Consider the following 12,592-nt stretch of genomic DNA (forward strand, 5'->3'; position numbering starts at 1 on the left):
TCCCAGTGGGCAGAACTTTGAGAAGTGTACCTGGTTGCAAACTTTGCATGGAAGGAGAAATGGCCAGATGAGTGATTATATACTGATTCATGAGCTGTAGCCAATGGTTTGGCTGGATGGTAAAGCACTTGGAAGAAGTATGATTGGAAAATTGATGACACAGAAATTTTAGGAAGAGGTACGTGGATGGACCTCTCTGAGTGGTAAAAAACTGTGAAGATATTTGTATGCCATGTGAGTGCTCACCAATGGGTGACCTCAGCGGAAGAGGAGTATAATAATCAAGTGGATAGGATGACCCGTTCTGTGGCGACCACTCAGCCTCTTTCCCCCGCCACCGCTGTCATTGCCCAATGAGCCCATGAACAAAGTGGCCATGGTGGGAGGGATGGAGGTTATGCATGGGCTCAGCAACATGGACTTCCACTCATCAAGGCTGAACTAGCTATGGCTACCACTGAGTGCCCAACTTGCCAGCAGCAGAGACCAACACTGAGCCCTCATTATGGCACCATTCCTCAGGGTAATCAGTCAGCTACCTGGTGGTAGGTTTATTATATTGGACCTCTTCCATCATGGAAAGGGCAGAGGTTTGTCCTCACTGGAAGAGACACTTACTCCAGATATGGGTTTGCCTATCTTGCATGCAATGCTTCTGCCAAGACTATCATCCATGGACTCACAGAATGTCTTATCCACCGTCATGGTATTCCAAACAGCATTGCCTCTGACCAAGACACTCACTTTACAGCCAAAGAAGTGTCACAGTGGCCTCATGCTCATGGAATTCACTGGTCTTACCATGTTCCCCATAATCCTGAAGCATCTGGATTGATAGAATGGTGGAATGGTCTTTTGAAGTCACAATTACAATGCCAACTAGGTGACAATACTTTGCACGGCAGGGTAAAAGTTGTCCAGAAGGTTGTGTATGCTCTGAATCAGTGTCCAATATATGGTACGGTTTTTCCCATAGCCAGGATTCATAGGTCCAGGAATCAAGGGTTGGAAGTGGAAGTGGTACCACTCACCATTACCTGTCATGATCCACTAGCAAAATTTTTGCTTCCTGTTCCTGCGACATTACATTCTGCTGGCCTAGAGGTCTTAGTTCCAGAGGAAAGAACACTGCCACCAGGAGACACAACAACAATTCCATTAAACTGAAAGTTAAGATTGCCACCTGGCCACTTTGGGCTCCTCCTACCTTTAAGTCAACAGGCCTAAGAAGGGAGCTACAGTGTTGGCTGGGGTGATTGACCTGAACTATCAAGATGAAATCAGTCTACTACTCCACAAAGAAGGTAAGAAAGAGTATGCATGAAAAACAGGAAATCCATTAGGGCATCTCTTAATATTGTGATTAAGGTCAATGAGAAACTACAACAGTCCAATCCAGGCAGGACTACAGATGATCCTGACCCCTCAGGAATGAAGGTTTGGGTCACTCCATTAGGAAAAAAAACCATGACCTCCTGAGGTGCTTGCTGGAGCCAAAGGGAATACAGAATGGGTAGTAGAAGAAGGTAGTCATCAATACCAGCTATGACCATGTGACTAGCTGCAGAAACGAGGACTGTAATTGTCATGAGTATTTTCTTCTTCTTTTGTTAAAAACATGTTTGTTCATGTATACACTTGTACTAAGAAAATATCTGAATTTTGTTTCCCTTTTCCTTTATCATGTGACATAAGATTTATTGACTTCACATCAGCATTTAAGTATTGTTAACTTTATATAATAGTATTTGGGTTGGGGATTGGTGAGTTTCTGGTTGTACAAAGGATAGTTGTATTATGTTAGACATATTATGACCTTATTATTGTCTTTATTTAAAGATTATGTATGATCTCAGGAGATTGTGTATGGGTTCAAGTTGACAAGCAGTGGACTTGTGATGGTTAATACTGAGTGTCAACTTGATTGGATTGAAGGATACAAAGTACTGATCCTGGGTGTGTCTGGGAAGGTGTTGGCAAAGGAGATTAACATTTGAGTTAGTGGGCTGGGAAAGGCAGACCCACCCTTAATCTGGGTGGGCACAATCTAATCAGCTGCCAGTGAGGCTAGAATATAAAGCAGGCAGAAAAATGTGAAAAGAGGAGACTGGCCTAGCCTCCGAGGCTACATCTTTCTCCCGTGCTGGATGCTTCCTGTTCTCAACATTGGACTCTACATTCTTCAGTTTTGGGACTCGGACTGGCTCTCTTTGCTCCTCAGCTTGCAGACAGCCTATTGTGGGACCTTGTGATCATGTCAGTTAATATTTAATAAACTTCCCTTTATATACATATATATGTGTGTGTGTTTATATATATAATTTAATAGGATTTATATAAATATATAAATCCTATTAGTTCTGTCCCTCCAGAGAACGCTGACTAATACGGTCTCCCAAAATAGTGCCAGGGTTTCTCTGCCAGTAAAATGTGACAGCAGCTTGGTCTGTGTTTGCATTCCAGAGACTGGGGCGTGAAGGGTAAAAAGTACCCCCTGTGATGAAAAGAATTATTTTTCTTGCAAACTGGGACATATGTTGATAAAGAAAAGACCAGGTTCTTGCTTAGGTTTGGGGGTGAAAGGAAAAAAGCCTAGAAAAGAAGACCCATCCTCTTCTTTTACCACAAGTAAAGCTCCCGATCTTACTGAGAAGGAGCTTACCAAAAAAGGAAACATGGCTTGCAGAGCCACTGTGGAATGAAACCTGCAGGGGACAAAATAGTGAAGTGTGATGTGAGCAAGCTGCTTAAAGTCCCATCAGTAGCACCCCACCCTGCCAGGGAGCTCACAGCATCCACTCACAGCTGATCTCACTGACCACAGCCAGCCAGGGAGATTAAATGACTTGCTCAGATTCACATTCTGACCCACAGACTGTGGTCACAGTTCACTGTGGTTTGTACCATAGGTGATTATTCCAGGAAAGAACATTTGGGGACCCTTTATAGAACAGTTCTCGAGACAGCAGTGAGAGAGGAGAAAGGAAGAAAATGGTCAGTCAGGTAGTTAGGGTGGGTCCTTGGTTGAATTCTTTCAAACAAAAGAAGAGCCTGAAAAATCGAGCTGCAGGCACAGATAAGGCAACTTGTACAGGGAGGCTTGCCTAAGACATGCCCACAGTGCACAGATAAGAAAGGCTACACGGGTGACTTACCCAGACATGCCCACAATGGAAAATTCCATCCCCCGATACATGTGCAGTAAAGGGAACAAAGCAATATGGAGTAACTCAAACTAAGGGCCCACATGCACATTAGGAGGATGGGGTGGAGCTACCAGAAATTCACACCTTATGCAAATGAGATGCCCAACCCTTATTGGTTTCTTATAAAAGCCTTTGCATTCAATTGTAAAAATGGCAACCCTCTTTTGGGCTTGCTCTTTGCAGCTGAGAGCTTTCTTCTTTTGCTTATTAACCTCTTGCTCCAATCTCACCCTTGGTGTCTGTGCTTCTTAATTTTCTTTGTCGTGGTACCTTGGGCAACAAGAGACTGCTTTGTTGTGGTGCATTGACAAGACTGTAACATTGTGGTATATTTGTTGACAAGACTCCAATAGCAGTGCACAAAGTTCTCTTATGTCCTAGAAGCATTTCTTATGGCAATATGAGAACCCTAAAGGCCAGTGTGGGCTACTGTGTGAGACCAGTGACTGCATGAAGGTCCAGAGGGTCTGAGCATCAGACTGCAAATGCTGCCAAGTAGGGGGAACAGTGGATGTGATGGCATCAGTATTTCAGCAGATGCAGAACTACTGACCCCAGAAGCACTCGTCAGGCCAGCCAGTGCTCACAACCCAATAAATTTGATCTCAGGAAATTGAATAGGGGCAAATATGAGGTTCTGCTAGTGTGCTGAAGTGCAGGTAGAATCCCTGAGAAAGAAAAGCGGAAGTTTAATTTCTTTTCTACACTTTAATTGGAGTCTCGGTAGAGTTATGCAGAATCTTAGAGCTGAGAAAAATGCAAGAAATGATCTAGCCCAACCAGTACAGATACAGACACCGAGGCCTAGGGAGATTGCAACCTAGTGAAGCTGGCCTCAACTCTGACAGAAGTGGTGCAGTTACATGTGCTGGCTGGGAGAGTTTGCACAAGCTATTTACCCCTCTGTTTCTTCATTTGAATGTGGGGTAAAAAGTGCCTGCTTATAGCACATTTTCAATAAATTTAGGTATTATCCACATAGCATGTTTCATACATTTTGGAATTCTTCATGTAAAAGAACACAGATATAACTAAATAAGTATAGTTTAGAAATATACATATAACTGTAGGATGAAGAGGAGCAAGGACCAGACTCTGAAAAAAAGTCCATTTGAAAAATTCTGGAGGTTTTAGTTGAATGCAAATTCAAGAGGAACCAAGGATATGACTAGGCTGCTAAAAAAGCTAATGACACTCCAGGCTCTATTTGGAGTATCTAGACAGGAAACAGCCTCAATGTTTTCTGGGCTAATCAGATCACATTTAGACCATTGTTCCCAGCTGCAAATCACAGTGGCTGTCACCAAGTGACATCCAGATGGTGGGGAATCTGGAAGTCTTGTCTTATAAGGAAAATTTCAAGGCAATGGAGTAGCCAAGAGAACACTTGAGTGTAAAGGGTGGGATATAATGTAGTAGGGAAAGTCTGTCATGAGAATGACAGAAAATGATTCAAATAGTAAAATTAGAACACTAGATGGAAGCTAAGGGGATGTATATTTCACTTCACTTTACGTATGACATTTGGGCTAGGCATGGTGGCTCATGCCTATAATCTCAGCACTTTGGGAGGCTGAAGTGGGAGGATCACTTCAGCCCAGGAGTTTGAGACCAACCTGGGCAACACAGTGTGACATCATCTCTACAAAATAAATGAATAAATAAATAAATAAAATTAGCTGAGCATGGTGGCATGTGCCTGTGGTCCCAGCTACTCAGGAGGCTGAGGCAGGATGATCACTTGAGCCCCGGAGTTTGAGGCTGCAGTGAGCCATGTTCGCACCACTACACTTCAGTCTGGGCAACAGAGAGAGACCCTGTCTCAAAAAAAAAGAATGAAATTTGAGGCAATCATAGATATCCACAAAGACAAGGTTTTACAAGGAAGTTGCTTGGCACTGTTTGAGCAGTAACTAGCTGTTGTAAAACAGTTCTTGCATTCAGTAGTTGGAAATGATAACAGCTACCATTATTATCTCTAATTCTTACAACAACTCCGTAAGGTAAGGCATAGTGTCTTCATTTTATAGATAAGAAAACTGAGGCTCAAAGAGGTTATTCAACAGGTCCAAGATCATATGTCTATTAGTTAGATGAGCCAAGATTCAAACTTGGATCTGCCACTAAATTACCCATTCATTCTTTTGTGCCATGATACCAACCTGCCAGTTCACCTTTTCCCATAGTTTCCATCATTTCCTTCTGTCTACCCTATTTCTCTCTGGTTGGTCAGAATTAAATCCAGAGTAGCAAGTCACCTCATTACTTTATCTACCTTTGGTCAAAGTTGTTTATATCCTTTTGAAAGAATTCATAGGACCACCAGAAAGATGCAAATAACAAAGTATTCTTAAGAGTTAATTTCTTGTCTATAAATGCAAAGAAAATACATTAAATAGAACACAAAATATATCCCTTAAAAACTCTAATGAATGCAGGACCAGATTGGCAATGGTCTCCACAGAGTAAAATGAACAGACACTCTATCTTCTCTCTTTGCACAGTTATCATCCAGGTGCTGCTCCTGACTGCCTGGGGCTCTAACTCTCAATGAGGAGGAGATGCCAGGACCTGTGCCAAGATCAGAGAGCCCACTGGGAATAGCACATCAAAGGAAACTTTCAGGTCTTCACAGCATGCAAGAGCAGAAGTGTTCTTAGTAATCACACAGTCTGCTTCCTTCTTACTTCACAAGTGAAGAAATTGAGGCCTAGAGAGACGGAGTAACTCTCCCATGGCCCAAAGTATTTGAACAGAAGACTAGAATCATGGCCTCTGCACTACACCAGTGGGAGTTATATTAAAGCTGCAGAGGCCAGGTCCCACACTGGCACTGGTGGATACATACACAGGCATTCCTAATGCACTACTGAATAATTTGCTGTGCACACATGATTAAACACTTCACTACAACAGCTTTTTTAATTTGTACTTTTATTAGCCAATTTCTTTTTGTATTTCTATCTGTTTTTGTGTTTGCCTACAAAATAGCTTTATTAAGAGAGAATCACATACCATACAATTCACTCATTTAAAGTGTATATTTCAATAGTTTTTAGGATATTCACAGAGTTATGCAACCATGACCACAATCAATTTTGAACATTTTAATTGTCCCAATCCCCATGCCCATTAGCAGTCACTCTCCATTTCCCTCCATCTCCTCCAGTCCTAGGCAGCCACTAATCTACTGTCTGTCTACAGATTGGCCTATCCTGGATATTTCATTTAAAGTGAGCCACACAATATGTGGTCTTTTGTGACTGTCTCCTTTCACTTTAGTATAATATTTTCAAGTTTCATCCATGTTGTAGCAGGGATCACAACTGTACTTCATTCTTCTTTATTGCAAAATACTATTCCATTGCATGGATACATCACCTTTTAAAAATCTTTTTTTTGAGACGAGGTCTCACTCTGTTGCCCAGGCTAGAGTGCAGTGGCACAATCAGGGCTCACTGCAGCCTCAACCTCCTAGGCTCAAGAGATCCTCCCACCTCAGTCCACTCCCTCACCCCACCCAAGTAGCTGGGTCTACAGATGTGCACCACCACGCCCAGCTAATTTTTAAGAAATTTTTAGTAGAGATGATGTCTCACTATGTTGCCCAGGATGATCTGCAACTCCTGAGCTTGAAGTAATCCTCCCAACTTGCCTTCCCAAAGTGTTCGGATTACAAGCATGAGCCACTGTGTCCAACCTTAAAATCTTTTCTTTTTTTTCTTTTCTTTTTTTTAATTTTATTATTATTATACTTTAAGTTTTAGGGTACATGTGCACAATGTGCAGGTTAGTTACATATGTATACATGTGCCATGCTGGTGTGCTGCACCCATTAACTCATCATTTAGCAATAGGTATATCTCCTAAAGCTATCCCTCCCCCCTCCCCCCACCCCACAACAGTCCCCAGAGTGTGATGTTCCCCTTCCTGTGTCCATGTGTTCTCATTGTTCAATTCCCACCTATGAGTGAGAATATGCGGTGTTTGGTTTTTTGTTCTTGTGATAGTTTACTGAGAATGATGATTTCCAATTTCATCCATATCCCTACAAAGGACATGAACTCATCATTTTTTATGGCTGCATAGTATTCCATGGTGTATATGTGCCACATTTTCTTAATCCAGTCTATCATTGCTGGACATTTGGGTGGGTTCCAAGTCTTTGCTATTGTGAATAGTGTCACAATAAACATACGTGTGCATGTGTCTTTATAGCAGCATGATTTATAGTCCTTTGGGTATATACCCAGTAATGGGATGGCTGGGTCAAATGGTATTTCTAGTTCTAGATCCCTGAGGAATCACCACACTGACTTCCACAATGGTTGAACTAGTTTACAGTCCCACCAACAGTGTAAAAGTGTTCCTATTTCTCCACATCCTCTCCAGCACCGGTTGTTTCCTGACTTTTTAATGATTGCCATTCTAACTGGTGTGAGATGGTATCTCATTGTGGTTTTGATTTGCATTTCTCTGATAGCCAGTGATGGTGAGCATTTTTTCACGTGTTTTTTGGCTGCATAAATGTCTTCTTTTGAGAAGTGTCTATTCATGTCCTTTGCCCACTTTTTGATGGGGTTGTTTGTTTTTTCTTGTAAATTTGTTTGATCCCACAGAAATACAAACTACCATCAGAGAATACTACAAACACCTCTACACAAATAAACTAGAAAATCTAGAAGAAATGGATAAATTCCTCAACACATACACCCTACCAAGACTAAACCAGGAAGAAGTTGAATCTCTGAACAGACCAATAACAGGATCTGAAATTGTGGCAATAATCAATAGCTTACCAACCAAAAAGAGTCCAGGACCAGATGGATTCATGGCCAAATTCTACCAGAGATACAAGGAGGAACTGGTACCATTCCTTCTGAAACTATTCCAATCAATAGAAAAAGAGGGAATCCTCCCTAACTCATTTTATGAGGCCAGCATCATCCTGATACCAAAGCCAGGCAGAGACACAACAAAAAAGAGAATTTTAGACCAATATCCTTGACGAACATTGATGCAAAAATCCTCAATAAAATACTGGCAAACTGAATCCAGCAGCACATCAAAAAGCTTATCCACCATGATCAAGTGGGCTTCATCCCTGGGATGCAAGGCTGGTTCAATGTATGCAAATCAATAAATGTAATCCAGCATATAAACGGAACCAAAGACAAAAACCACATGATTATCTCAATAGATGCAGAAAAGGCCTTTGACAAAATTCAACAACACTTCATGCTAAAAACTCTCAATAAATTAGGTATTGATGGGACATATTTCAAAATAATAAGAGCTATCTATGACAAACCCACAGCCAATATCATACTGAATGGGCAAAAACTGGAAGCATTCCCTTTGAAAACTGGCACAAGACAGGGATGCCCTCTCTCACTACTCCTTTTCAACATAGTGTTGGAAGTTCTGGCCAGGGCAATTAGGCAGGAGAAGGAAATAAACGGTATTCAATTAGGAAAAGAGGAAGTCAAATTGTCCCTGTTTGCAGATGACATGATTGTATATCTAGAAAACCCCATCATCTCAGCCTAAAATCTCCTTAAGCTGATATGCAACTTCAGCAAAGTCTCAGGATACAAAATCAATGTACAAAAATCACAAGCATTCTTATACACTAATAACAGACAAACAGAGAGCCAAATCATGAGTGAACTCCCATTCACAATTGCTTCAAAGAGAATAAAATACCTAGGAATCCAACTTATAAGGGACGTGAAGGACCTCTTCAAGGAGAACTACAAACCACTGCTCAACGAAATAAAAGAGGATACAAACAAATGGAAGAACATTCCATGCTCATGGGTAGGAAGAATCAATATCATGAAAATGGCCATACTGCCCAAGGTAATTTATAGATTCAATGCCATCCCCATCAAGCTACCAATGACTTTCTTCACAGAACTGGAAAAATCTACTTTAAAGTTCATATGGAACCAAAAAAGAGCCTGCATTGCCAAGTCAATCCTAAGCCAAAAGAAGAAAGCTGGAGGCATCACGCTACCTGACTTCAAACTATACTACAAGGCTACAGTAACCAAAACAGCATGGTACTGGTACCAAAACAGAGATATAGATCAATGGAACAGAACAGAGCCCTCAGAAATAATGCCACATATCTACAACTATCTGATCTTTGACAAACCTGACAAAAACAAGCAATGGGGAAAGGATTCCCTATTTAATAAATGGTGCTGGGAAAACTGGCTAGCCATATGTAGAATGCTGAAACTGGATCCCTTCCTTATACCTTATACAAAAATTAATTCAAGATGGATTAAAGACTTGAATGTTAGACCTAAAACCATAAAAACCCTAGAAGAAAACCTAGGCATTACCATTCAGGACATAGGCATGGGCAAGGACTTCATGTCTAAAACACCAAAAGCAATGGCAACAAAAGCCAAAATTGAAAAATGGGACCTAATCAAACTAAATAGCTTCTGCACAGCAAAAGAAACTACCATCACAGTGAACAGGCAACCTACAAAATGGGAGAAAATTTTCACAACCTACTCATCTGACAAAGGGCTAATATCCAGAATCTACAATGAACTCAAACAAATTTACAAGAAAAAAAATCTTTTCATCAGTTGATGGATATCTGGGTTGTTTCCACTTTTTTGCTGTTAGGAATAATATTGCTATAAACATTCATGTACACACTTTAGTGTAAGCACATGTTTTCTTTTCTCTTGGATATATACTTAGAGTAGAACTGCTAGATCACATGTTTACACTATATTTAGCTTTTTGAGGAAGTGCAGACTTTTCCAAAGCAGAATTTTACATTCTTATCTAACAGTATGTGAAGGCTCTAATTTTTCTATATTCTCAACAACACTTGTAATCATCTTTTTATTATAGCCATCCTACCAGGTGCAAAGTGGTATTTCATTGTGGTTTTGATTTGTGTTTTTGTGATCTATCTGTTTTTTATTTTTATATTTTGAAACTATACATTTAGACATGTAAAAATGTATGGTTATTACATCTTCTTATTGGAAAACAATTTTTTATTTTTACTTTCTAGAGATGGGGTCTCGATATGTTGCCCAGGCTGGTCTCAAACTCCTGGGCTCAAGTGATCCTACCTCAGCCTCCCAAGTAGCTGGAACTATGGGTGCCTCCTGCTGCACTGGACTTGGAATATAACTTTTATTAATATGAAATAACCCCTTATCACACAATATGCTTTTTGCCTTAAATTCTATTTTGTCTGATGTTAATATTACAATATGCATTTTTGTTTTTGTTAACATTTTCCTGACATATATTTTTCTGCTTCATTTTATTTTACAGCGATTCAAATATAACACATAGCTAATTTATTTATTGTAACCACTCTGAATTTTAACAGACTATGGCTCATTTATATTTATTTTGATTATGTATAGGGTTTATCCTACCCTTCAAATTTATTACAGTTTGTTAGTATTTGTTTTTTCTTTCATGTCTTATAAGATTGATTGAATTTTCCTTACTCTGTTTTGTTCTTTTAGTGGTTTTCCTTAAATCATTAAAACACATATTTCTGTTATTTGGTATCTTTAACTTCTCCCCTGAAAGGGAAAAGAAACTGAACAAGATTCCCTTTCTCCCTTATTACTCTTGCCTCCTCTCATGTCAGAATTATCTGGAATTTCAGTTCTAGTAATAAGGATATGTTAATAATTACTGCAGCAACTAACATTTATAAAGCAACTCACTTTATTCCACAACTTGTATTAAACAATTTATAAGCATTAATTTCTCTAATCATACCAGAATGTCTAGGAGGTATGCATATGGTTATGTTACCTGTCAGAGATTACACAGTTAATAGCAGAGCTTATATTAACATTGTTCATCAACACTTATTTACATTTTACACTTAACTCAAGTTTCTCTGGTTCCTTTGCTTGTAGTTATTATCTCCTTTGGATTTAATAGAGCAAATCCTTCAGTATTACTTTCTGAGACAGTTTAAGGGTGTTTCTTACATGTCCATGTCTTTTGTTTTGCTCTCACACCAAGAATATTAGCTTGGATATAAAATTAGGTCCAAAATAAGTTTCCTTCAGAATATGGCTTAATTAAGTTTAACACGCAAGTTACCCTTGGAAATCCTGATGCCATTCATATTTTCATTTCTTTGTAGATATTTTGTCTGTCTATCTGTCTGTCTCTCTCTGCTACACATTATTCTATTGTGTGAATGTACCCTAGTTTATTTGATCAATCTCCTAGAAATGGATGGATACATAAGTTATTTGCAATAGTTTATAATCAAAACAATGCTGCAATATATAACGTCTTATATATGTATTTTCAAATTATTGGAGGTATAACTTCACAGAAAATTTCTAGAAGTGGTACTGCTGAGTTCAAGGGTAAACTTATGTGTAGTTTTGTTGGATATTACAAAATTCCCCTCCATGAGTGTTGTACTCATTTTCATTCACACCAGGAATATTTTACAGTGCCTATTTGTCCACAGCTTTACAAGCAATGTGTTTTTATATTTAAAATGTTTTGCCAACCTAATATGTGAGAAATAGTATCTCAGCATAGTTTTGACTTGAATTTTTTAAATTATGAGGGAGCTTGAACATTTTTTGTGTGTGAAATGTCTGTTCATATTTTTTATCCATTTTACTCTTGGGTTCTTTCGTCACTTAACCTTCAATTAACTCCTTAGCTATGACATATGTTGCAAATATTTTCTGCAAGTTTGCCATTCATTGTTTAACTTTGCTTACGGGCTTTTGTTTGTTGCTTTCATCATGCAAATATTTTTAAAAACATAGTTAAATTGATGCATCTTTTCTTTTATTGCACCTATATTTTGAGAGATAGTTTAAAAGCCTTCCTTATATCTAGGTTATAGAGAAATTCACCCATATTTTCTTCTAATAAATGCATGTTTCTGTTTTTATATCTCTGCTCTTTTTGTAGTTTATTCTTGTAAATGACCAGGTATATGAATCTAATTTTATCCTTTTGACTATCCAGTTGTCCCAGCATCATTTTAAAAAAATGTTTATCTTTTGCCCAATAATTCGAGATGCCACCTTTATAATACACTGTAACTCCACGTGTATTTGGGTCTGTTTTCTTCTCTACACCACTGGTCTATCTGTCCAGTCTATTTATGTACTAGTACTTGGAGTGTCTTAATAATAGAGGCTTTATACTTTGTTTTCATATCTGAAAGGGCTAGTCCCCTTATCACTGTTCTTTTTCCATGTTCTCATAAGTATTCCTGCACACTCATATGAACTTTAATATCAACTTGTATAGCTCCATTGAAGATTGTTGGTATTGTTGGGATTGAATTACATTTATGAATTCACATAAAGGGAACTGACATCTTTAAAACATTGAGTCAT

Source organism: Homo sapiens, chromosome 18 (genome assembly GCF_000001405.40).
Source record: "Homo sapiens chromosome 18, GRCh38.p14 Primary Assembly".
NCBI lineage: Eukaryota > Metazoa > Chordata > Mammalia > Primates > Hominidae > Homo > Homo sapiens.